General features: G+C 47.3%; 1 protein-coding gene, 3 long non-coding RNA genes and 1 pseudogene across 19 annotated transcripts in view; 3 read left to right on the plus strand and 2 right to left on the minus strand.

The window, feature by feature from the left end:
* Positions 1-18,098, minus strand: part of LINC00511 (long intergenic non-protein coding RNA 511) — a 42,432-nt gene extending 24,334 nt beyond the window's left edge. Inside the window, exons 1-2 of the long non-coding RNA NR_033876.1 lie at positions 17,997-18,098; positions 16,373-16,476 (exon numbers count right to left, since the gene is read on the minus strand). This is a non-coding gene — a long non-coding RNA (long intergenic non-protein coding RNA 511). The remainder of the gene's footprint in view (positions 1-16,372; positions 16,477-17,996) is intronic.
* Positions 4,798-5,305, plus strand: RPL32P33 (ribosomal protein L32 pseudogene 33; annotated as a pseudogene).
* On the plus strand, positions 7,258-13,306 carry LOC107985005 (uncharacterized). Its single transcript, XR_001752991.2, has 3 exons — positions 7,258-7,607; positions 12,188-12,329; positions 12,837-13,306. It is a non-coding gene; the product is annotated as an uncharacterized LOC107985005 (long non-coding RNA).
* Positions 18,099-18,300: 202 nt separating the features above from the next.
* Positions 18,301-22,091, plus strand: LOC105371887 (uncharacterized). 2 transcript variants are annotated; one of them, XR_934961.3, is made up of 4 exons: positions 18,301-18,344; positions 18,549-18,719; positions 20,254-20,455; positions 21,327-22,091. It is a non-coding gene; the product is annotated as an uncharacterized LOC105371887 (long non-coding RNA). The 2 variants fall into 2 exon arrangements; XR_934960.3 differs by having other exon boundaries at positions 18,301-18,719.
* A 1,483-nt stretch (positions 22,092-23,574) lies between these two features.
* The window catches only part of SLC39A11 (solute carrier family 39 member 11), a 446,740-nt gene continuing 443,332 nt past the window's right edge, over positions 23,575-26,982 (minus strand). For all 15 annotated transcript variants that reach the window (XM_017024335.2, NM_139177.4, XM_006721757.3 and 12 more), the window contains 3 exons: positions 26,796-26,894; positions 26,429-26,587; positions 23,575-25,288 (listed from right to left, as the gene is read on the minus strand). In XM_017024335.2, the coding sequence (XP_016879824.1) occupies positions 25,210-25,288; positions 26,429-26,587; positions 26,796-26,894 (337 nt within the window). In that variant the 3' untranslated portion in view covers positions 23,575-25,209. The remainder of the gene's footprint in view (positions 25,289-26,428; positions 26,588-26,795; positions 26,895-26,982) is intronic.

Below are 26,982 nucleotides of genomic sequence, written 5' to 3' on the forward strand. Positions count from 1 at the left end.
GGCTGAGAATGGCTGAACCTCAGCACTAAGCCTCTCCCATCTCCCATGACTTAAGCTTTGGGAAATGGCCCATGAGATCTGACCCTCTAGAGTTGGATTCCAATCCTGAACTGGGCTCTAACTCACTCACTGTGTGGCCCAGGGCAAGCTGTTCAACCTCCCTGGGCCTCCATTTCTCTGTTTATGGATGACCTGCCTGACTTTCCAAGAATCACTGGGAAACGGAGCCTTGGAGTTCCCTAGAGAAAGGAGGTGTCATAGTAGGCTATCTGGCCATCTTGCAGGTGAACCCCAAAAGAGTGGCTTGGTAGTTTTTTCTCAAAGAAATTCCACAAAGAGGAGGTATGTTGTAATGGAAGAGTATTGGATTTGGCATCAGAACACCAGGTTCCAGTCCTGATTTGCTATTTAAAAGTCACCCATCATCTCAAAGCTACGGTCTTGCTTGAGTGTGAATCACAATTCTTGCCTTGTACAGGAGGATCAAATCAGGCAGGAATGCAACCACATCAGTCACCTGGAAGGAACGCAGGCATCCGCAGAGGAGGGGGTGAGGTGTGGAGTCTCTGCCCGAACATCGGTTAAGTGGTGAGTGAATTGACTGGGATGAAACTGATGAGGATGGTAGTAACGATGCTCTAAAGCACCCGAGTTTTCCCCCAGTTCCCTCAGGGAAGCCCCACTCTGAGACCTGGGACCGCCACTCCCAAATCCCTGTCCCAGATTCTTTCCTTTTCCGAGGGCATCTAGAGGACAAGCACCTTCTGATCGGAATGTTTTCCAAATACTCAACATCTGGAAGGAGCTGTTACAAAGGCCCCCTTTGTGTAGCCGGGAAATGGGCTGGCAATAAAACAGGGCCAGACCCTGCCGAGCTGGGAATGGCAGTGGGGAGAGGGTGGGTGAGAGGAGCAGCGCGGAACAGGCTGGGAGGAGGACCTGTGAGAGCAAGGTCTCCGAGAGGGGTGTCCGGGCAGCATGGGACAATGGAGAGTGACCATTGCATATCCAGCGCTTTCTATGTGCTTTCTCTGTAGTGTCTTATTTATGTAAAAGAAAGTTTCAGCAGTGGTCACAGTGAGGGGGGAAGATGTATCTGAAGCGTGGTGGGAAAGATGGAAGAATTCACTCAACAGTATAACATTTTTCAGGTCTTGACAGAGAAGGCAGAAAAACCTTCCCTGCTGGAGTGTTAAAAGGTGACAACGCCCCAACCCTGTTTCTAACCTGCATCATTCCCCCACTTCCTTAGAGCCATGTGCTCAGAAAGCAGGTCCAGGTGCCCTTGCAGGAGCCTCCTGTCCCTTTGTTCCAGCAGGTGTCTGTGAGTCTGTGTGCACGCCCTTGGGGGCTTATGGGACCTATAAGAACAGATGATTCTTCCCGTCTGTTCTGCCACAACCAAGCAACGCTCTGCCCTTCCTTGTATGCCCCCTGGCCCCAAGGCAGTCTGAAAACACAAGGGAGTTCTCTTGATGGAAACTTCTTGGGAGACTGCAGGCCTGCTATGCAAAAGTCGCTTCCCAAAAGCCAGAAAGCCATATGCTGTTTATTTCCAAAAGTATCTGGAAATCAATTCAGGCAGCTCTTGCAGAATTTCAGAATCTCGGGGCTGGAACGAATCTCAGGAGCCCGATTGCAAATGGGCAGTGGATGGACCACCTGCTTTAGACTCCACGAGGGGGCTTGTTAAACATGCAGAGTCCTAGGCTGAGCCCTGGAACCACCTGGTGAGCGGGGATGGGGAGTTGGAATCCAGAAATCTGCATTTGGTAAGCTCTATGAGTGATTTTTCATTCAAGTGTGAGAAGTATTGATCCAAATCCTGACCCAGCCTCCAGGACAGCAGCACTTGCTAAGGTGAGACACACGGCTGTTTTTTTCCATTCTTAAACATATCTAAGGCTGCATGCATTTCCCTCAGCATTCAGAAAGGCTTTCTCAACTTTCTTTTTTTATATCTAATCTTAGCTTTCTGAGCATCCTCCTTGCATAATTTATTGAGCACAGACTATCTACTGGGTGAGTTCATTGCATATTGCCTTTTTACTATTCATGGCATCCTTTGAGTCACATACAGTTGGAGGCAGCTGGAGAGGGAGGGGAAAATAAGAAGAAAGGAAGTCGTCGGAAAAGAAGGGAAAGGCAGAGATGAGGAAGACCTTCCCTTATCTCCTGCCTTTGGGAACAATAAGCTGACTTCTTGGTGTGTCCTGGTCCTTTTTACAACTGGAGCAGATAGAGTGTTATTGAAACTCAGAACTGCCACATTTGGAAAAACTAAATTCTACTTTTGTTTTTCCAGACTTCCCAGGCCATATTACATCTTTCTGACCAGTTGGATGCTATAGGAAGTCAGCTCAGATGCTTCTAGGAAACCTTAGGCTTTTGTGAGAAAAAGAAGGCATGCAGCTGGTACTAGCCTCCCCTCTTCTTCCAGCATTGGACAGTGCATTCATTTTCTAGGGCTGTCCTAACAAATTACCACCCTCTGGTGGCTTAAAGCAAGAGGATCTTATTATCTCAGAGTTCTGGAGGCTAGAAGTTTAAAACCAAGGTGTCAGTGGGGCCATACTCCCTCCAAAGCCTCTAGGAGAGAAATTTCCTTGCCTCTTCCAGCTCCTGGTGCTTCCTGGCTGATATGGTTTGGCTTTGTCCCCACTCAAATCTCATCTTGAATTATAGCTCCCATAATTCCCACGTGCTGTGGGAGGGACCAAGTGGGAGGTAACTGAATCACATGAACAGGTTTTTTCTGTGCTGGTCTTGTGATAGTGAACATGTCTCATGAGATCTGATGGTTTTATAAAGGGGAGTTCCCCTGCACTTGCTCTCCTGCTGCTGCCATGTAAGACGTGACTTTGCTCCTCATTCACCTTCTGCCATAACTGTGAGGACTCCCTAGACATGTGGAACTGTGAGTTGATTCAGTTGATTGAACTTCTTTCCTTTATAAATTACCCAGTCTCTTCTTTCCTTTATAAATTACCCAATTTATTAGCAGCGTAAGAACAGATGAATACACTGGTATTCCCTGGCTTGGGACAACATCATTCCAATCTCTGCTTCTGTCTTCATATGGCCTTTTCCTCCCTGTCGTTGTGTGTCCTTCTCTGTCTCTTATAAGGACACAATCACTGAAGCTCACTCTAATCCCATATGATCTCATCTCAATCCTTAACTACCTCTGAAAAGATTCTATAAGGTCACATTCTGAGGTTCCAGGTGGACATGGATTTTGGTGGAGGACACTATCCAACCCACCACAGATAGGGACATTGTATTAGTCCATTCTCATGCTGCTATAAGGATATACCCAAGACTGGGTAATTTATAAAGGAATAGGTTTAACTGATTCACAGTTCTGCAGGGCTGGGGAGGCCTCAGGAAACTTGCAATCATGACGGAAGGGGAAGCGAACACATCCTTCTTCACATGGAGGCAGGAGAGAGAAGAATGAGTGTGAGCGAAGGGGAAGCCCCTGATAAAACCATCAGATCTCATGGGAACTTACTCACTATTATGAGAACATCATGGCGGAAACAGCCTCCGTGATTCAATTACTTCCTACCAGGCCCTTCCCATGACACGTGGGGATTATGGGAACTACAATTCAAGATGAGATTTGGGTGGGGTCACAGCCAAATCATATCAGACATGATTTACAGAGCCACGGAAGCCTGAGGGGCAGCATGAGGACAAAAATAAGCTAAGAAAGGCAGAGACATCAAAGGCTAAATGTGAAGACTCTGAGCTGAGCCATGAGCTGTCAGGTCTGGAAAGAGTCAGTGCAATAAAAACAGCATGGTTCATATTGGCTGTGGAGTCACCCAGACCTGGGTTTAAATTCCAGGCCACTGTCACTTTCAGGAGGGAAACCCAGAAGAGTTTTCTCATGCCTTTAAACTTTATCTAACCTCTTTGAAAACTTTATTTGAGGAATACACAAGATAACACACTCAATAATTCACTCACACTCCTTGTTCTTTACCTAACAGCAGCAACTTTGCCTTACTTATTTTCATATCTCCTGCATATGACACATAATATACAGTAATTAATATTTGTGGGCCCAGAGTAATCAACCAAATATTTGTTATGTGTCAGTAGCTACTTTAAATATTACAAAGCTTCAGTTTCTACCAGTGAAATACAGGGATTTGTTGGGCCTGGGCTACTGGAGTGTTACTGGAATAATAGGCCATTAAAGATCAGGAAGGCTTCCAGTTCAACGTGGTAGACGAAGTATGCATGTGTGCCCCCACTCCAATCTCACATTAAATTGTAATTCCCCAGTGTCAGGGGTGGGGCCTGGTGGGAGGTGATTGGATCATGGGGGTGGGTTTCTCATGAATGGTCTAGCACTGTCCCCCTTGGTACTGTCCTCATGATAGTGAGTGAGGTCTTATGAGTTCTGGTCGTTTAAGTGTGTGCAGCATCCCCCCACCCGTGCTCTCTTGCTTCTGCTCTGGCCATGTGACGTGACTGCTTCCCTTCACCTTCTGCCATGATTGTAAGCTTCCTGAGGCCTCCCCAGAAGCTGAGTAAATGCCAGCACCACGCTTCCTGTATAGCCTGCAGAACCATGAGCCCATTAAACCTCTTTTCTTTATAAATTACAGTCTCAGATATTTCTTTATAGCAACGCTTGAATGGCTTAATACAACATGATCCTTTCCACTCCTTCCCTAAGCCCCTGAAATGATAGTAAACAAAATTAAAAGATAAAAAAAAGTCAGAAATACAAGGAGAATGAGAGATGAGAGGACATGAGAGGGTTTTGAAAGTCAGCAGCTCTCTCTTCTCTCTTCCTTGGCGCTGCCTACGGAGGTGGCAGCCATCTCCTACTCAGCGTCGTGGCTACCCTCAGACCCCTCGTGAAGCCCAGGATTGTGAAAAACAGAACCAAGAAGTTCATCTGGCACCAGTCAGATCCATATGTCAAAATTAAGTGTAAATGGCAGAAACCCAGAGGTACTGACAACAGGGTTCATAGAAAGTTCAAGGGCTGCTCAACATTAGTTATAGGAGTAACAAAAAAACAAAGCACATGCCGCCCAGTGGCTTCCGGAAGTTCCTGGTCCACAATGTCAGGGGGTTAGAAGTGCTGCCGATGTGCAACAAATCTTACTGTGCTGAGATGGCTCACAATGTTTCCTCCAAAAATGGCAAAGCCATCATGGAAAGAGTAGCCCAGCTGCTCTCAGAGCCACCAACCCCAAGGCCAGGCTGCACAGCGAAGAACAGGAATACACAGCTCACGTGCATGTCTTATTTGTGTTTAAACAAAACCATAAAAACTGCCTGAAAAAAAAAGAAGAAAAAAAAAGTGTCAGCAACTGATTTAGCTGATTAAAAAAAGGTGAAGCACAACTGACTACAGAGGAAGAGGCCATGCAAGGTAGCCGACCCACACCTTGACACACCAGGATGCAAGGAATTGGATGGAGTCACCTATTGTCTCCCAAAGCAGTGTGTGCAATGGGGCAGGGAACAGCAGGCTTCCTTGAGAATCTGTACCAAGCTACCGGAGCTCCCGGATCCCCAGCACATCCCTGCCCTGTGCACCAAGCAACTCCTCATCCGCCACAACAGGAGACAAAACTGAACCAGGGAGAGTCCAGATGTGGAGACTGCATAGGGCAGGGGCAGCACAAGGACCAGAAGACAGGGGTAAAAAAGAAATGTCTACATGCCCCTTCACCTAGTTTGCTCTTCAAATGTTAGAGACCAACTTACAATCCACCCATGAGAACGGTCTGGATTTCTCTGTGGTAAGATAGATCATCCCAAGAGAAAACCCTAAACATAGTGATATTTAAGAGTCTCCAGTGAAAAGTGGAGTCTCTCTCTAAGTGCCCTACAGCGAGATTTACCAGCTCTCTGGTCCCATCCACCTCCACCCCTACATCCAGAGCATTCAATGAGGCAAGCATCATCAGGCAGTCGGAGAAAATTCCCAGTAGGAAAGACAGAGACTAAAATAAGAAAATAGTGTGGGGCAGTGGGGGTGGTGGGAGCAGGGAAGGAGAAAGAAACCTGGAGAAAATAGGGAGCAAAAGAGAAAAAAAAAGAAAAACGGTGACCTCCTTTCATTATTATCCCTGGATAGACAGAAGAAAGAATTGCCTTCAGGAAAGAAGAACAGAAGGCCACAAGAAGGAATTTTATGGCAACTAGAGCTTTTAAAAATTACTAAGTTTCTCTTATTCCTTAAGAGAAACAGTAAGACAGAATGATGAAAAAGAAGATCAAACCAGGGGTTCCAAGATCCAACAAATAAGAATTCCAAAAGAAGAACAGAAAAAAATTGAGGAAAGGAAATTGTGAAATAAATAAGAAAGTGAACATGAGTTTCCATATTGAAATAGATGATCAGGGGCCCAGTTCAATGACTGAAAAGAGACCCATACCAAGACCCTGTGTCATGAAACTTCAGCTCATTAGACATAAAATAACCTTCAAAGGAGGGAAGTAGGAGGTGAGGAAAGGAGAGACAGGGAAAGAGAGAGAGAGAGAGAAATTTCATATACAAAAGAGAAGGAATCTGAAGAGTATGGAACAACTCAATAGCAACACACAAGATGAGAAGGTAATGGAGCAATAATATCAGATTTCTAAGATAAACTGATTTTCCACCTAAACGTCTGTAGCAAACAAACTATCAATCAAGTGTGACAAAAACATTTTAGAATATGCAAGTTCTCAAAAAATTTTCCTCCACAGAAAACTATGGAAGGATATGCTCCATCAGAATGAGGGAGTAAATCAAGAAAAAGGAAGATTTGGGAGAGCCTGGCAGCAGAGTATTTCATTCAGGGATTGCCTAGGGTGGCATAAAACAGATCCATGAGCAAAGAGACATTTATTGTGCTCAAATACAAAAGTCCGGTGGGAGCAGTCACAACGCAACAGTTTCGTGATATCCCAATGTGCCCAGTGCTGACTGTCTGTCTTGTATTACCAAAGCTGGTGTACAGACTCCATCCTCATGCTTGCCTCATGGTGCTATGGTGGCTGTCCCATCTCTAGCTTTTCATCTGTATTCCAGGCAGGAAGAAGAATGCAGCAAATGAGAAAAGAACAGCCTCTACCTCAGAAAAACAAAACTTTCTTAGAAAAATTATCAGCAGGCTACTGCTTTTGTCTCCTTGGCCAGAATTGTGTCGCCCTGTAGCTACAATGGGCTGGGAAATACAGTTTTTAGGTTGGTATATTAGTTTCCTATTGCTGTTGTAATAAATAACCATGAAGAGTGGTTTAAAACAAAGCAAATGTATTATCTTACAGTTCTAGAGGTCAGAAGTCTGAAGTGGGTCTCACTGGGCTAAAATCAAGGTGTCCTTGGCAGGGCCAAGTGCTTTTCTGGAGGCTCCAGGGGAGAATTTGTTTTTTTATCTCTTCCAGCTTCTAGAGGCCACCTATTTTCCTTGACTCATGGCTCCTTCCTCTGTCTTCAAAGCTTGCAATGGCCAGTTGAGTCTTTCACACCTCGTACGACTCTGACTCACATTCTTCTGCCATCTTTTTCCATTTACAAGGACACTTGTGATTACATCTGTCTATTGGGAAAATCCAGGGTCACTTCCCCATCTCAAGGTCAGCTGGTAAGCAACCTTAATTCCATTTGCAACCTTGAATCCCCTTTGCCATGTAACATAAGACAATCACAGCTTTTGGGGATTAGAACACAGACATCTTTTTTGTTTTTATTTTTATTTTTAATAGAGATGGGGTCTCGCTTTGTCATCCAGGCTGGAGCACAGTAACGCAACTGTAGCTCACTGCAGCCTTAAACTCCCAGTCTCAAGCAATCCTCCCACTTTGGCCTCCTGAAGTGCTGGGATTACAGGGATGAGCCACTACATCCGGCCAGGACATAGACATTTTTAGGAGACCCTTATTCTGCCTACTATCTACTATACTGGGCATAGTAGATATAGTTGCAGCTTGGTATAAAATCTGGGTCATTTTACTTTTTTTGTTTGAGACGAAGTCTGGCTCTATCGACCAGGCTGGAGTGCAGTGGTGCCATCTTGACTCACTGCAATCTCTGCCTTCTGGGCTTGAGACATCCTTCCACCTCAGTCTCCCAGGTAGCTGGGACTACAGGCACACACCACCAGGCCCAGCTAATTTTTGTATTTTTTGTAGAGATGGGGGTTCACCATGTTGCCCAGGCTAGTCTTGAACTTGTGAGCTCAAGTGATTCACCTGTCTTAGCCTTCCAAAATACTGGGATTACAGGCATGAGCCACAGTCCCTGACCCGGGTCATTTTATTTAGTATGAAGGGAAGTGTGAATTTAGGCAGGCACACATGCTAAGGATTATGGAGTGGAAAGATGGGAGGAGGCAGGGGTCCCCAGTGGTACCACAGAGTCACTTCTCCAAACCCAGACTGAACCTCTGCTGTACTTCAAGTTACACGAGAGACATCTACCCTTATGTGGTTAAGCTGCTTTAGCAAGGCTAGAGTTCCATGAAGCCCAGTGTAAGCCCAAGGAAACTTTCACGTTTTCAGGTAAGAATTCAATAGATAATGTTTAAAACCAAAACAAGGAGAAATGCCAGGATGAGCATGGTATTGGGAAGTAGGAGGTAAATATCAAAAGAAACATCTAAGTCAGAATTTAAAGAGGTGCCCCCAGGGAGCAGATTCAGAGTTGGGGAAGTAGAGGGCAGAGCATGGCTGACTTCCTTCAAAAATGGTTTTCATGCCATTTGACTTACTAAACTTCATTTATCTGTTATTATGCCTAATGAAAATCAATTTTTAATTTAAAAGTGATGATAATAGTTTGGAGCACCTATAGCAATAAACTAGGACGTGCAAGAAAATGATCTACCCATGCAATTCCCCCAACCGGGCTGCATCAGGCTGGAAGGGTCATGAAATGGTTCCCACAGGGGCCACCGTGGAGCACAACCAGGAGGTGAGACACAGCCTTGGCACAACAGTGGTCCACATTTACCTTCCCCAGCGAGGGTCCTCAGCATCCTGCTAGCCCTCCTGAGCTACAAAGGACAGGAAGTTGGGGCAGATTTGTTTTCTTTCCCTAACAAGATCTTATTTTAGGAGCAGAGCTCAGAAGAGCAAACAGAGAAAAGAAAAGTCAGGGGCTGGTTTCAGGGAGAAGAGTGACCACGGGCCATTCCTTGGGCCATGTCTGCTTCTCTAAGCCTGGCCCTGGGGAACAAAACTTAGATCTTGATCATCCAGCATAGCTCTGGCATGCTGAGCGTGTGATACACCTGTCTCTACCGTCAGGCAAACGAGTGGGTTCACAGGCAGAGGCCTGCCCTGCCAAACAATGCTCCCCTTTGTCCCCGCCCAGGGCTCAGGAGCCGCAAGGAAGCCAAATCCATCAGCACTTGTCAGGGCCCTTGATGCACACAATGCAAGTTATGATCCACAGTCCCCGGCAAAGCCCCAGGCTTCCAGCAGGCAGCATTAACTGACACGCAATGTGTCAGTCAGCCTTCTAAAAGCCAGGGGTGGGGATCCGTGCCAGGGGGCCACTGAGCTCTCATTCCCAGAAGCCAACCAGAGCCAGTGAAGGGGCCGCAGAGACTCCGACACATCATTTTCATAAAAACAGCCCAAGGAGAGCATTGCATTAGGAAAAATCATTTCCCGTATTGGCAGCGGGCTCTTCTGATGGCTTTAGCAAATACCATACACACCGAAGCAGTGCAGTGCGCGCCCTTGGCTCATGTGCCCGACCGCATACGGGACAGACCAGGGATGAGGGAGACTGGAAGTATGAATTCCCAAATCAGACTCCCTACAAATGCAACACCGCCTGCAAAGGGTCGCCCCTCCTTCGTAGCCAGCAAGGTGGCAGGCTTTACAGAAGCAAGGGGATTTTGTGACCAAAAAGAACCTGGAAGCGGCCTCCATGGATGCTGCCAAGGTTATTGTGTGCACTTCTTGATGCATCCTGCAAACCACTCTGGGCTGTCCTATTCTGTTCGGTCACCTCCTCCCTGCCTCCACCCTCCCACCACGTGACTGCCAGTCACCAGGCCAGGAATATCACAAGCGTCTTCCTTGGGCAAACAACCGTTCCTCTGCAGACACCTAGACTGACCTTGGCACTCGACACAGAGGGAGGGGACAGAAGACGAGTGTGTGTTCAAAGTCTGCAGTCCCCTGGGGAGGGGTCACTGGCACCATCTGCCTTCGCTACCGGGGCAAGGCAAGTTCAGAGCTACAATTAGTGCTGATTCAGCCATGGTCCCTCGGTCTCATTCCCTAGGCTTCCCTACAAGCCTAATTATGGGCATGAAATGAGCTAGTGAATGAGTTTTCAGAAAAGCAAACGTTCCCTTAGAAATACAAAATATTTGAGCCAAATAATATCAAGTAAGATTTTGTTGTTTTTGGGCAAAGGTCACTGTTTAACTTAAAGGAAAGCAATAAAATATATGCAATATATAAATTCTATAAATTATAGTTATAGAGTAAATTATAGTAAATTTATACAGTAAATTATAGTTATATAGTAAATTATATAGTATCACTTCTTTTGGTGTGATAATGGTATTGGAGTCATGTAAAAAAGAATGCCATTCCTTCTCAAGATACATACTGACCTGTTTATGAATAAAATGACAAGATGTCTGTTTGTTTTTTTATATATTTTTTTTAATTTTTTGGGGGACGGAGTCTCAGTCTGTCACCCAGGCTGGAGTACAGTGGCACGATCTTGACTCACTGTAACCTCTGCCTCCCAGGTTCAAGCGATTCTCCTACCTCAGCCTCCTGAGTAGCTGGGATTACAGGCCTGTGCCACCACGCCCGGCTAATTTTTGTATTTTTAGTAGAGATGGGGTTTCGCCATGTTGGCCAGGCTGGTTTCGAGCTCCTGACATCAACTGATCTGCCCACCTCGGCCTCCCAAAGTGCTGAGATTACAGCTGTGAGCCACCGCATCCAGCCTGTTTGTTTTTAATAACAAGGAGGAGGAGGGAAGTGAATAGGGCAGGACTGGCCAAGGGTTGATGGTTGTTGGACTGTGTGATGGGGACATGAGGGTTCATGACACCATTCTGTTTGTTTGAGCATAGGTTTGAAATTCTCCATAATATAAGGTTGAACAAAAACACAGTTTAAAGATCAAGACAGCATAAAGAATAAATCAGTGAGTGTACAAACTTATGCATGCAAATGATCAGATCTGGCCTTGCTTTGAAATTGTAGTGGCTAAAACAGATTTGGTTTTGCTTTTTGTAACCAGACAGTAAGAAGGTGAGGGAGCTCCTGTGGGTGTCAGACAATAAACCATTCACTGGTTTTTGGTTCTTGTTTTTGAGATGGGGTCTCACTCTGTTGCCCAGGCTGGCACTCACCGTTTTTGGTAGGATTCCAGAGCAAAACCTAGTGACATTTACTCTCAAAATATATCTGCTGTAGTATCAGACTTATGTCTAACAAAATTAGTGATCAGATGGGAGGCTGACTATCCTGAAACGGGATACAGTTTGATCAGGGCAGTAGGTATGTTTTAAAAGGACAGACTGGGCCTGGCGGCCGTGGTGTCTCTTGCCTGTAATCCCAGCACTTTGGGGGGCTGAGGTGGGTGTATTACCTGAGGTCAGGAGTTTGAGACCAGCCTGGCCAACACGGCAAAACCCTGTCTCTACTAAAAACACAAAAATTAGCCAGGTGTGGTGGTGCACACCTGTAGTCTCACCTACTTGGGAGGCTGAGGCAGGAGAATCGCTTGAACCCAGGAGGCTGAGGTTGTGATGAGCCAAAAATCACACCATTGCACTCCAGCCTGGGTGACAAAGCAAGACTCTGCCTCAAAAAAATAAAAAATAGAAATAAAAGGACAAACTGGTCAGGTATAATGGCTGGCAACAATCTCTTTTAATCACCTGGTACCCTAAGGTAAAGCATCCCCAAAAACCTCAAGGATATTTTTATTACTTTTGTATGTTATTTGAGAGAGCCGTAATTCCATTTTTAGCTGGTGCATTGTTCAAGCTAATGTTATCTACTTAATCTTTTCCTCTGGCTAGTTTGGTTCTTAGCAGGTTGTGTTGGTTGAGATTAAGATTAGAGATGTAATATCAAAACCACCAGTTCAGAACCTGAATTGTAACAGACACATCCATCTGCAGAGATGCTCTTTCCTTCTGATTGGCAAGATTGTAACCTACTTCTCAATTGATTTCAGCATCGAACACCCGGGGCTGGCTCAATTCCTTTCTACACCTGCCAAGAAAATCTAAGTGGATAATGATGCTGACCAATCAATGGGCCGTGGGCAACACAGGAAATCAGTGGGCCCGCAAAAAGCTGGGCACCACGTGTTACGGGTAATATTCTCAGGGCCCAAAATGGGTGGCACCAGCCTCCCTGACCAGTCAAAGGAGGCAGGAAATGGAAGCTGAGCTCACGGTGGGAGGAAGCTGGGTGTGGGTGGTGGTGGCAGCCCTGGGAAGAGAAGGGTGTGTTTCTGAGGGCGCCTTGTGCCCTACCTGTTTGCTGCAGCTTTCCAAACCACAAAGCCCTGCCTGCAGCTCCCTGCCAAGGCTGATCATAATCTGCCATGCTATCGGCATTGTCATCTCTTATACAGATGCACATTGAGTGCCTCTAATTCTGAGGATGATCCCCTGAGGAATCTTGCCTTTTCCCAGCGCCATGCTGCTTGTCCATCCAGGCACGTGGCAGCAACACCACCATAGGGATGCCCAGGATGCCAAGCTGCATGCCCGCTACCTCCCCTCCCTCCTGCTTCCTCAGCCCACCTCTTCTACCCCAACCCTGAGCCTCAGAAGGAGGCCGAACCATCTGCCCGTTTTCATTCTTGTCTTTTGCAGTTGGGAAATGAATCTTCAGTGACAGAGCCCACAGAGGAAAACACCCAAACCTGACCCTCCCTTTAACCTTGCGAGCGCTATCACTCAGCCAGATACCACCACTGTTTCCCGAGGACTAAGAGAGATGGCTCTTTGCCTGGTGGAGCTGTGAGGAAGATGATGGGAAACGGGCATGCTGGCATCGGAGTTTTTCTGGATTGGAAAAAGAGGATTTTACTTTTCAGCACCTGCCAGCATGATAGGTTTGCCAAGAATTCTACACTAAACAAACACACACGCCTACATCACCCCTCCTCCCAAGCAGGCATAACCCACTGGGGAAGGAAACAGCTCAGGAAGGCGGATGGCAGGGGTTCGTGAACCTTGCTAGTTTCCAGGGCACGATCCATTTTAATCTCCGCCAGAGGACTTAAAAATCTATTCTGTCAATATCTCCCTTATTAGTAAAGTTTGGGTCCCAAAGCAAGAAAACTAAGGCTTAATTTTGACTTAGAAGATTGTTGTTGTTGTTTTATTATAAGTTTTGATTATGTAGTATGTGTGTGTATATATGTTATTCACTACATACATATTTATGTATTTTTAATATATTTTATATTTTAATATAACATATAATACATATTATATATTATATAATATGTAATTATATATTAAAATATATAATTATACATATATTTTAATACATAAAGTATATTTTAATGTATATATAAATTATACACATGTATATTCAAATGTGTATATCAATATTTATGTATATATTTAGATTTGAAAGCCTTGGGGGACATGTAGGTCCATATCCTCTTGTAGATATCGTAGTGGGATCCTGGCTTTTGGTTATCGTCTCCCCCAAGTCTCCTATTCCCTTTCCGTCCCATTTTTTTCTTGCAAAGAACAAGCAATGACTGAGGCTTTCATAGCCATTGTCACAGAATAGGTCCTGTGGGGAGTTGATTTGTAAAAAGTTCCTGGACCAAAATAAAGGTGGTGACCAAAATGAAGTCATCTCTGCCACCTCCCAGTGGGTATCGATGTGGAAACGGTAACTTGAATCTGAAGCTTCTTTGTGCCCAGCCCCACTGTGCTGATGAGAGCAGACAGGGTGGGAGAGAAAGGGGCACACAGAGTGGACATGTGGATGCCGTTCCTCAAGCCCTTGAAGAAACCAAGAGTTGGCCGCAGCCCTGACCCAGAGTTCTGGGAGATGGGTCCGTGGTAACCCCGCAAGGGAGAAGAGGGCAAGAAGGCCAGGATTCCCAGGGCTCATCCAGAACAGCCCATCCGTCCAGATGGGTATCCTTGATTCCAGTACCTTCCCTGCTCACACATCTCTTTCATCCATTCATTGTACCACTCTGAAGTGTAGAATATGCAAAAGAGAGAATAAAATCATATCATCGCCACATGTAGTTTGCTGTGTCATGCTTATCCTGGTGGATGAAAAAGAGGCCCACGAACCTATGGAAGCCATTCTTGCCACCTGGGTTTATGAGCCAATAGACCATGGCAGAGGTGATGGGATGTCATGGCCATGCTTATGCTATATTACATAAGACCCTCACTTACTAGCTGACTCAGTCGAGGGGCTCTCCTTGCTGGTTTGATCAGTAAGCAGCCATGCTGGGAAAAACCCATGTCCCTAGGAGCTGAAGGAAGCCTCTAGCTCACAGCCAGCAAGAAGCAGGGTCCCTAAACCCATACCTGCCAGAACTGAATACTGCCAGCAATGGGAGTGAGTTTGGGAGCAGATTCCTCCCCACTTGAGCCCCTGGAGGAGACTATAGTTAGGCCAACCCCTTGATTGCAGCTTGTGAGACCCTGAACAGACGCCCAGTTAAAACTGTGTCCAGATTTCTAACCGAGAGAAACTGAAATAATCACGTGTTGTTTTAATCTGCTAGATTCGTGGTAGTTTGTCACACACAAATAGAAAATGAATACAACGACCGTCTCCCACCAACTTACCAAATATGATAAATGTTCACATGGAAGAAATGTACAGACTCATACATCATCTATTCAAGTGCAGTCCTTTGTTTTTTAACCGTGTTACAGGCTTGTTAGGAACTGAAAAAAATTACATTTTTTTTTTTTGAGACAGTCTCACTGTGTTGCCCAGGCTGGGGTACTCTGGTGTAATCTTGGCTCACTGCAACCTCTGCCTCCCAGGTTCAAGTGATTCTCCTGCCTCTCACTCTAGCCTCCCAAGTAGCTGGGACTACAGGTGCGCAACACCACACCCGGCTGATTTTTTGTGTTTTTAGTAGAGATGGGGTTTCACCATGTTGGCCAGGCTGATCAGGAGCTTCTGACCTCATGAGATCCACCCACCTTGGCCTTCCAAAGTGCTGTGATTATAGGCGTGAGCCACCACTCCTGGCCAAAAATTTACATTTCTATACTTTCACATAATAAGTTCAGTAAGCATTTTCATTGAAACAGCAGAAAGGGAGCTGGTTCTAATTGAAGACAAACTTTGAAAAGATTTAAATTTTACTAATCTTAAATCAGTTCATTGTTGTTTTCCATGGGACACACTCCAGGGCATGGTGGTGACCAATGCAGTCTGCAAACCCAAGTGCACATTGAACCCGACCCTAAAAGGCAAAGGTCAGAGAAAGGGTACACCTCTGACCTCCTTCCTGCACAACTACAAAGTGGAACCCAAGCTTTGGCTAAGGGCCTCCCCTCTTTGCGTGCTCCCCAGGCTTGCCCCACGTTTCCACTTTTCCCTGATGCATCCTGGGCTTCTTGGAGGTCATGGTGAGAGACAGGACTAGCTGGACTTCCTAGGCCGACTAAGAATTCCTAAACCTAGCTGGGGAAGGTGACCGCACCCACCTTTAAACATGGGGCTTGTAACTCAGCTCACACCCGACCAATCAGGTAGTAAAGAGGGCTCACTAAAATACAAATTAGGCTAAAAGCAGGAGGTAAAGAAATACTCAAATCATATATTGCCTGAGAGCACCGGGGGAGGGACGATGATAGGGATATAAACCCAGGCATTCGAGCAGGGAGAGGCAACCCCCTTTGGGTCCCCTCCCTTGTATGGGAGCTCTGTTTTCATGCTATTAAATCTTGCAACTGCACACTCTTCTGGTCTGTGTTTGTTACGGCTCGAGTTGAGCTTTCACTCGCCGTCCACCACTGCTGTTTGCCACTGTCGTAGACCCACTGCTGACTTCCACCCCTCCAGATCCAGCAGGGTGTCCGCTGTGCTCCTGATCCAGTGAGGCGCCCATTGCCACTCCCGTTCGGGCTAGAGGCTTACCACTGTTCCTGCGTGGCTAAGTGTCCGGGTTCGTCCTAATCGAGCTGAACACTAGTCACTGGGTTCCATGGTTCTCTTCCATGACCCACGGCTTCTAATAGAGCTATAACACTCACCGCATGGCCCAACGTTCCATTCCTTGGAATCGGTGACGCCAAGAACCTCAGGTCGGAGAACAAAAGGCTTGCCGCCATCTCGGGAGCTGCCTGCCCCATCATGGGAGCGGCTCGCCACCATCTTGGGAGCTTTAAGGACAAAGACTCACCTGTAACAATGGCTCTTGTAATCAGTGAAGGGAGAGGCTAACTTGGCCTTAAACCCCACGGCTGGGTCCTCACCACGTCCAAACAGGCTGGATCTGCTCGCTCCCTGCCAGGAGGAGGGAGGCCAATGAGAAATGTATCATTGTGGCTCATAGTGCACCAGAGAATGGAGACTATATCAGAAAAGACCCCGCATGATTTCCAAGCTGATCTTTTAATCTGGGGGAGGATCACGGGCTGTGGGGATGCTGGGATACAGGTCCATAGGTTCACCCTCTACAAAGAATCACACATCTTTCCTTGGGCCACACAAAGCAGTTGCTCTTCTGTTACAGGAAAAGGGTCCTGATCCAGTCCCCAAGAGAGGGTTCTTGGATCTCCCGCAAGAATTCAAGGTGAGTCCAAAGTGCAAAGTGAAAGCAAGGTTATTAAGAAAGTAAAGGAATAAAAGAATGGCTACTCTGTAGACAGAGCAGCCCCAAGGGCTGCTGGTTGCCTATTTTTATGGTTATTTCTTGAAGATATGCTAAACAAGGGGTGGATTATTCATGCCTCTCCTTTCTAGACCATATAGGGTAACTTCCTGACATTGCAGTGGCATTTGTAAACTGTCATGGTGCTGGTGGGAGTGTAGCAGTGAGGATGACCAGAGGTCACTCTCGTGACCATTTTAGTTTTGGTGGGTTTTGGCCAGCTCCTTTACTGCAACCTGTTTTATCAGCAAGGTCTTTATGACCCATATTTTTGTGCTGACCTCCTATCTCATCCTGTGACTTAGAATGCCTTAACTGCCTGGATAGGCAGTCCAGTAAGTTTCAGCCTCATTTTACCCAGCTCCTATTTAAGATGGAGTTGTTCTGGTTCACATGCCTCTGACACTTCCAGCTCTTCCACCCACACACATCTTCCCTGTCTTGGGGCAGAGGGCAGTAGCCTCGTACCCTGAGGATTCTTGAAGGTCTGGGGTCCGAGCAGCTCCATCAGAAGCCCCATCGGGGACCTCTGAGGGGTCAGTGACAGTCCCTGGGGACAGACGGTGGCTCCCCAGGACGCTTTCCCTATTAAGCCACTGGCAGAGTCCAGACACTTTCACTGGGTTGAGAGCTAGAAGGTCAGAGAGCGGGAGAGAATCCAGAGGTAGGTTCAGGGTTACTGTTTTGCTCAGCCCTGGATGGCCAGGCCCAGCCTCCCGCATTCTACTGGAAGGAGGAGGAAGATGGGTTTAGTTCTTCCCAGGGCAGGAGAGAGAAGCACAATTGTGGGCTGGGTTCCTCCTGCCTCTGAACACAGCGCCATCCCTTCTCCCAGGTGCTGGGCTGGGGTGTGTGGAAGATGAAGGAAAAGTGAATTAACTAAATAGGGTTCCTGCAGTGTCTGGAAAGCCTCTAAACCCCCGAGCACCTCAGGCTTCCCTGCCCTGATTCAGAGGTGAGGTTACCTAAAAGCCAAGGAAGCCTGGGCTTCGGGGACCCTCACTCACAGGCCCCCTTCCAAAAAAGCCCTGCACCTAAGCTTGTACTGGGACTTCTGTATTATTTTTCCCAAAGGGCGCTCCCCACGTTGTATACACTTCCGGCCCCCAAATCTGGATCCACCCTGGGAAGGGACAAACTGGGGGCAGCCTACCCACATTCGGCCAGCGGGGGGTCCGACCGGCCTTGGTATCTCCAAGCGAGGTAACAGTAGTCGCCCCTTGCGTCCCTCCCCCTCCGGGGCGCATCGCCCCTTGCGTGCAAAGCCCCGGCACCGCCACGAGTCTCGCCTCGCCCTGCACAGGTAAACAGCCGCTGGCCGCCGGCCGGCCGCCCTGCAGGGCAGCCCGGGGACCTGCCCCCGGCGCCACGCCCGGCGCCCCGGGGAGGCCCAGCCCGCAGGCCCCGCCGACTGGGCGCCGCGCCCTGGGAACGTGCACCGGGGCAGGCAGCCCGGCCTCACCTGGCCCCAGCGCGGAGCCGGATCACACCTGCCTGCTGGGTGAGCCGAGGGCATTCGCGGAAGGGAAGAGACAAGACCTGGGAAGGGACGCCTGTGGCTTAGAAAGACCCTCAGGCAGGGCCGGGCGTGGGGCGCGCTGATAAAAATTCCTGGAGCTGTATTATTCACATCGCAGATTTGTCCCTTTGCCTCAATCTAAAAGGAATGGGAAAGAACAGCCGCTGGGCTCTCATTTGCTTCCAGCTTACACAGATTCAACTATCAATTATCCCAGAGGAGAGGCGTGCAGTGCAGGGCGTTGGGCCACGAAACTGAAAGCTGCTGGCGAGGCGCGTGGGGGAGGTCGATTTCTGCGTCCTGCTGCCTCCACGCACAGTGAGAACCCACCCCGCCACTGCGTTCCTGTCCTCACAGGTAAAGTCAGGATAATAATATCTACCTCACGGGGGATTCGAGGAAGTGGTGGGAGCGTAAAGCCCCGTCTGGTAGAGTGAATACCTGAGCAATGGCCTTCCGGTCCCGTCTTCAGCACAGCAGGACGAAAATGTCTTCTGTTGGGATCCCAGAGAAGATCCAGACGCTGACACCTGCCCCTACCTCTCTACTTCTCATCATACCGGTCACCTGGAAGAAGGGTCCATTCAAAGCAAAGCCTGTAGCCAATGAGTTGTTTCTGCCATCAAACAGTCAAGCATATGAGGCCCAATAGGCAGTCCTGTTTTTTTTGTGACAGAGTCTCACTCTGTCGCCAGGCTGGAGTACAGTGGCGTGATCTCGGCTCACTGCAACCTCCACCTCCCGGGTTAAAGTGATTCTCCTGCCTCAGCCTCCCGAGTAGCTGGGATTACAGATGCACGCCACCACGCCGGCTAATTTTTGTATTTTTAGTAGAGACGGGGTTTCACCATGTTGGCCAGGATGGTCTCGATCCACTGACATCGTGATCCGCCCGCCTCGGCCTCCCAACGTGCTGGGATTACAGATGCGCCGGCCAGGCAGTCCTGTTAAGCCATGCCACACAGCTTAAAAAAAGACACTGGCAAGCTCAAGTCCCGAAGTTACCAGCTGAAGGAAGAGACTTAAACCAAACCAAGGGCTTCCTATGACAGTTCTGAAATACCCTCTTCCCTCTTGAGTCCATACAACTGAGAAAATAGAACGGCCAGTCACCGTGGCTCGTGCCTGTAATTCTGGCACTTTGGTAGGCAGAGGCAGGCAGATCACCTGAGGTCAGGAGTTTGAGACCAGCCTGGCCAACATGGTGAAAGCCCGTCTCTACAAAAATACAAAAATTAGCCGGGCATGGTGGCGCATGCCTGTAGTCCCAGCTACTCGGGAGGCTGAGGCATGAGAATTGCTTGACCCGGGAGGCGGAGGTTGCAGTGAGCTGAGATCGTGCCACTGCACTCCAGCCTGGGTGACAGAGCGAGCCTCTGTCTCAAAAAGAAAAAACAACAACAAAAAGGGAAAACCAAAGGTAAAATTTGATCCACAGGACTGGCCACATTTCTACACTGGTAAAATCATGGCCTTGCTGAAGCATTGATCAGGAAGGGATAAGACCCAGAGAATCCAAATGGAGACAAATGAGAGGATTTGGAAAACCTGAAGTTCTCTGAATCACCCAGTCCTCAAAGAGCCTCCTTCGTCAGCGGAAACCCTCTTCTCCAGTCTTCTGACACACTTCGTAACGACACTGCCATTTCTTTGCATCCTTTGCAGTCTCACTGCAAGAGCAAGCCAGTTCTCATGCATTACCCTCGACTGTCTCCAGAATGGACAGTTAGATCCCAGCACTTCAGAAAGAAGGACAATGGCAAGCTCAAACCAGCGAGGATCAAGATTAGAAACCAACATGATTTTGGGATTTTCCTAACTAAGGGTGCTTAATAAATGGGTGGAAAGGTATCATTTTACACTGGTCTGATGTTGTTGATATACATTGCAGAGATTCTGGATTGACTGTGCTAGCAGGAGAAGCTGGGAGTGACTTCTGAGCTGGACTGACCACTGGACGCCAAGTGATTATCCCTAATGTATTACATGTCATTTGCAACCCAAGCTGTCCGTCATGTACTGGGCCATCTGACACACTCATAAAATCCCATTACCAACTGGAAATGGTTTATGTGGGACTAGCTCCTAACCAGGTACTGAAGGCACAAGTGCATTATATGCATAGGTAGATCATTCCCTGTGTGCCTACCCCTGACCCTTTCATCAATCTAACACCGGCCTCAAAGGGGTTTCCCAAGAGCTAGTGACTAAGAGAGGAAAAACCACTGATCCTCATTTACAGATAGCTTCACACCATATGCTTGCCTACCTTTTTTTTTTTTTTTTTGAGACGAAGTCTCGTTCTGTCGCCCAGGCTGGAGTTCAGTGGTGCGATCTCAGCTCCCTGCAACCCCTGCCTCCCGGGTTCCAGCAGTTCTCCTGCCTCAGCCTCCCGAGTAGTTGGGAATGCAGGTGGGTGCCACCACGCCCAGCTAATTTTTGGTATTTTTAGTTGAGACGGGGTTTCACTGTGTTAGCCAGGATGGTCTTTATCTTCTGGCCTCATGATCCGCCCACTTCGGCCTCCCTAAGTGCTGGGATCATAGGCGTGAGCCACTGCACCCGGCCCTACCTTCTAAATAGGTGACTGTGATGTTATAGTTCAGTGAGGATAGCAGGTGAGAGGGAGAACCTCCTGGGGAGGAGAATTTGAAGCACATAACTCTGTGTCCACTTTGCTTGGAAGCAAAGAAAATTTGATGCAAGAAGCTACACCAACTTCTGAGCAGTGTAGATGGGGGGTTCTGTTCAACAGGTCACAAACTTGAAAGAAGAATGACTGGAGGTTTAATGACAGAGGAGAGGTGTGGGAAGACATACATGGCTTCACTTCTCAGAATGGGCCAAATTTGAAAATGTTTGTTTCTTGAGTAAAACATCATCCAAAATACCCACTATAGCAAAAGCTAATAATAATTAATTGAACCAGGCCATCTGCTTATGTGTAATGATTTCTTTCTCCAGGCACATCATTGCTTCAACTGATTCATGAGCAGAAGAGTCTTTGCTGGCAACACATGAACTGTGATGGATTCAATCACTTAGGCTTTCCATTATCAATGCAGACCTGGCCCCTGGGTGCACAGGGTTATCAGTGACCACCCCTGAATGCCGCAACTGACCAGACTCCAGGGACACCATGGACTACTTAGTTGCAGACTGATGACTTTGGACCTCTTCCATTATGGAAAGGGCAGTGATTTCTTTTCACTGAAACAGGCTCATGTCTGACTTTGGAACTGACCTCTCTGCCTGTAGATCATCATGGCATGCTCTACAAAATTGCTTCTGACAACGGAATTCACTTTACAGTGAAAGAGGGAAAGCAGTGGGTGATACCCTTGTCAATGGATCCTGTCACCCAGAAGCAGTCATCTGTATTCAGCTGTGACATGATTTATTGAAGATTTCATTTCAGGACTGAGAGACGATCATACCTAAGGAGATTGAAATATCGTCCTTTAAGATGCTTGTTTGTTCTGAACTAGGGAACATCACGTGGTGCCGTTTCTCCCACAGCCAGACTAAACAGGTCTGGAGGAAGGGGAAGTAGGCACGGTGCAACTTCCATCTTACTTAATGACTCTCACTCTCTTCAACTTTTTTTCCACCAATTAGCGATTTTATTCCCAGGAAAGGAAGGTTGCACCATTGAGGCAGCTGACCGTTGGGGTGGCTCCCTTTGGAAAGGGGATATAAAGTGTTTGTATGAGTGATGGTTCCATTAAAGCAGACATTTTTTAAAAAGGTGAAATTTGGGGAATTAGAGTGAATATAGATGTTGAACAGAAAAAGAGTGATATAGCAATAGTCTGGACATGTGGGCTGGCCACCTGGAATTTCACATGCCATTAGGTCAAAAAAGTGGGTTGACAAGGCTGGCTGCAGTGACTAGTCCTGGGAAAATGCTGCTATACCACGGGAGACAGGCCAGGGTGGAGGCTATGAATGAAACTCAAGTGGTTCTCTCAGGAGCCGCCTCCTCCTCCTCCTCCAGCGGTGGGAGTTAAGGGAAGACTGTTACCATCATGCATATGGGCAGGGCCTCCTTGGTCTCTGTGCCCTTAGGAAAGAGGAATAGGGTCACGGCTAGTAGGTCACACCCCAGTCATCTAAGGTACTGGCTGAAGACAGCATGGACTTGGAATGGAAACTGGAAGCGGGAAACCTAAACATCATCCAGGGTCTCTTCTCTAGGGCAGGAAATGGGTGCTGTAGCTTCTACTTGTACTTCCTGTGTTGTGTGTATCCTATTTTAACTCATTGCCTCTCTTTCCTCTCCCGTTATTCGTTTTATTGTATATGGGATGAACGGTTATGGTTAACTTTACACTTCAGCTCAAAGATACAGAATAATGAGATGGGCTTGTTATCCCACGGAGGTGGGGTATCCATTACTCACAGACCTTGAGTACAGGAGTTGAAAGACATTGGGGTAACCCCGTTGGAAAGGGAATGAAAGAAGTTTTGATTGTATGAGGAATAGCTACATATTTTAAGCAAGAGTTTTTTCTTTAAGTAAAACTAGAGGAATTAGAGTATATGTTGATATTGAACAGCAAAAGAGTAAGGCTGTAATGAACTTAATAGACCCTTTTTTTTTTTTCTATTTTGGCTCTGCACCATATGAACTCATTCCCAAATTTGGAAAATCCACTATTTTGCGAGTCTTGGGAAGGGGCAAGATCAGCTAGTTCATGGGCACAGGATCTAAGCTCTGGCAGCTGGATGTTCTGATCTAGAACTTCGAATGTGGAGCCAGGACACAAAGAATCCAGCTCAGTGTAGAGTTTGTTCTTGTGGCGGCAGTGGTGGTGGCATCAAGGTACAGCAGTTTCATTAGTGGTGTCCAGGATCTAGGGACCAGCTCTGGGGACCATGGCATCTAAACCAAGCTGTTCTCCAGGTGTGATTGGGTCATGGCCCCAGACCTCTGGCTTTCTTGGATCCAACCCATTTTCAAGCCCGATTCTCCGAAAGAGCCTGTGAATTCCCTAACAGGCTTCCACTCATTTCCTTTTCTGTTTAAGTAAGCTGCTGTTGGATGCTGTTGTTGCAACCAAGAATCTGACTAGCCCTTCCCATCTGAGCTCTTTCCTTTGCCTCTCCTAGTGTTGGATCAGGGAGGTGTTAGTTCCAACTTTAGTTAGCTCTTTTATGATCATCCTTGCAAAGAAGCAGCTTTGAGAAGTACTGAACGTAACACAGGTCATCCACAACATCCCCTTTTTATTGATATTAATCACAGTTATGAGGTCTTGTCCATCAGAAAGCACAATTTGCATTATGTAGAACTACATACAAAGACATAAAAATAAAACATACATACACCAACCACCACACCAGTTAATCTCAACCAATCAAACCTCTGAATGTGTCTTCAATTTTGATCATCAGTGCTTCGGAAGAACGTACATAGACCCAGCCCAAGGTTGGCCTTTGGGGTCTGATAGCATTCACAGAGCAGGAGATTCACCCTTGGAAGCAATTGAATGTGTAAACTCTGAGAGCAGACACTGACAATGCAATGCCTGCATACCTGACTCCTGGGCTGCCTTCCTTCTCAGCAGAGCCCACTGAAAGTCTCACGTGTGCCTTTAACCAATGAGGATGGCAGGCCTTATCTGTGTTTGAAGTGGACAGGTCATTGCTACCCCTGTTGGAGAAGCTATGTAAGAAGGAGTAGGCTGGCTTCTGGTCTAGTTCGACTCATTCTTTATAGGGACATTTCAGAATGATGAGTTGGCTAAAATTTACTTTAAAGGGGAAATGTAAAATTACCTCTTCTTTTCCTATCCCCTTCTTCCTTTCCCATCCTGAGCCCTCTGGCAAGGCCTGTTGCAGCTCAAGAGTTTTTGTCAGATTATAAGTTACCAAATGGTCAACAGGGAAGGACCCACAGCAGATTCCAAAACTCTTTCATTCACTTGAGTTAACTGAAATGGCTCCTTCTTTGAGTAATTGAAGAGTTTGAGTTCTAGCAGTTTGCTGGTGTCTCCAAGTCTCTTAGAAACATGATGGCTATAAACTTATCAAAATAAATGCCTAAGAAATTTGGAAAGCGCGACAAATGGCCTTGCTCCTGGAATCCATTGACAGCAGAGGCCTCCGAACAAACCCACACTCTGTCTGTCTCTTCTTTCCACAGGGCTCACTGTGAGTTCACAGTTGTCCTCATCCCCTTTCCTTCAATAATGTCAATCTTTGCCTTTAAAAAAAAAAAAAAAAAAAGCCAGACTAGCCAATTTCCTTCCCTTTTTCTGTGTCCCCCTCCCATGTAGTATCTCCTTAGGGGGAGGTAAAGGAAGACATGCTCCTCTCTGGGCTGGCTCGGCCTTGGAAGGTAGCTTGCTATCTTTATGATGCTCCAGTTCCAACATTCTAGATGGGGAGAGGCTCAGCAGTGATGGAGCAGGAGGGGCGGATGAGAGGTGTGCTGGCCACTCTGCCCTGAGTCACTAGGCCACCAAAATGCTTAGGAGACGTCTTTTGGTAGCTCGCTTCTATAGGTGACCTTGAGGAGTTGGGAGGCAGATAGAAGGTCCCGAAGTGGAGATTTCCCTGATCTGAAGTTCCTTGATAATCCCACTGAAGAGAGAGTCCATTCAGTGGCCAAAACAAAGAATCTGTATTTCCATGACACCTTAAAATTCCCCATTAAATCAAAAATCTCCCTCAAAGCAAAGTAAAAATGGTTCTATTATAATCAGAGTCAATCAGGATAATGAGATGAAGAAGAGAGGAAGGAAAAAAGTTTTAATGTGAAGAAAGAAGCTTGTTGTCCCATAGAAGCCAACCACTGCTGTTTCTTCGTATGGCCTTTCCCGGGGTCCGAAGCGTCTCAGCCCTAGCCCAGGCCAACGTCCAGTGACATCATCACTACAAATCCCAGGATGGAGGCCCAGGATGCCAGTTTCCCATTACCACTGGAAGAGAAGGACAGGAAGAAAAGTAAGACCTTAATGATCCCTGAGGCCACGGCTAGGCTGAAGGCATCCTCTGCAATGTCCAATTCCAAGAGAAAGCACACTACCATTAATAATGGTAACATTTACTGGGGCTTACTATGTGCCAGGCAAACTAATGAACCATGGAACCCCAAACAACAACCTCATGAGGTCAGTATCATAATTATCCTCATTTTACTGGTGGGGAAACTGAGGCAAAGAGAAGTTACTTGCCCAAGGTCACCTATGATCGTTCTGTGGTCCATGTGTGAGTAATGAAGAGGGGTGATTATTTCTTAAAGATATTACTTAATCTGGCCTTTTAAACTAGCCTCAGAGTTATTCTTCTATAAAAACCAAAATAGGCTGGGAGCAGTGGCTCAAGCCTGTAATCCCAGCACTTTGAGAGGCCGAGGCAGGCAGATCACCTGAGGTCAGGAGTTTGAGACCAGCCTGGCTAACATGGCGAAACCCCGTCTCTACTATAAATACAAAAATTAGCTGGGCGTAGTGGTGGTTGCCTGTAGTCCCAGCTACTTGGGAGGCTGAGGCATGAGAATCACTTGAACCTGGGGGGCGGAGGTTGCAGTGAGCCGAGATCACACCACTGCACTCCAGCCTGGGTGACAGAGCGAGACTCTGCCATTAAAAAAAAAAAAAAAAAGAAAAACAAAACAAAACAAAACAACAACAAAATGGAACAAAGCAAACCCTTACTCCCACCTTCTGACACCTGGCCTATAGCTAGCCAGTGAAGACATGCATGTATCACCTTCACTGACATTTTAGAGCTCACCTCTCCCTTCATTCCAGCCCGAGAATCGAGAGACAGGATGAGAGAGAATATACAAAAACGATAGTCTACTGCATCAAGGGACGGGGGGCAGGTGTGTATGCCACTGCCTGGTGTCACCTCATTTCTTGACCCACATGCCCTTAGCTTCTTTTCTTTTAGTTTCAGAGAGCACAGTTGAGGAGGCAGTGGGGATGATCTTGGGAAGGGGCAGAGAGGGGGAGGGAATAAGGAAAGGAAAGGCAAATGAAGAAAGAGCATATCCCAAGGCTGGGGTCCCAGCTGGGACTGGGACAGGGACAGACAGGGAGGGAAGGTTCTCCAACCTGATCTGGGCTTCGGGGATGATGTCGTCCATGACCACGTAGACCATGGCACCGGCAGCAAAGGCCAGAGCGTAGGGCAGGATGGGCTCAGCCAGCACCACGGCAAAGGCACCAAAGACCCCGGCCAGGGGCTCCACCATGCCGCTCAGCTGCCCATACCTAAGGAGAGAACAGAGACATTTACCACCGCAGGGGGAGGCAAGCAGACACTCCACGTGCCCAGACTGTTGGCTCAACCCTAGCACATGGATGCATGCCATTCTACGTCATATCTGAGCATGGCAGTGCAAAAGCACATCACTGTTTTGTTGAAAGAAGCCCACATGGAGGATGCTGTGACATGGCCTTGCCCTTGGGCAGCACTCACCAGAAAGCTCTCCAGGTGGAGAAGCCTGCCCCTCGCAAGGGAAGGCTGACAGCCAGGCCCTCGGGGAAATTCTGGATCCCGATTCCAATGGCCAAATTCCTGAAAAACCAAGAAAGCACATGAAGGCTGCTGTCTGGAATAGGTGCTCACACAATGGGAGTCCCTGGCCGAGGCCAAGACCTCCGTG

This window comes from Homo sapiens, chromosome 17 (genome assembly GCF_000001405.40).
Source record: "Homo sapiens chromosome 17, GRCh38.p14 Primary Assembly".
NCBI lineage: Eukaryota > Metazoa > Chordata > Mammalia > Primates > Hominidae > Homo > Homo sapiens.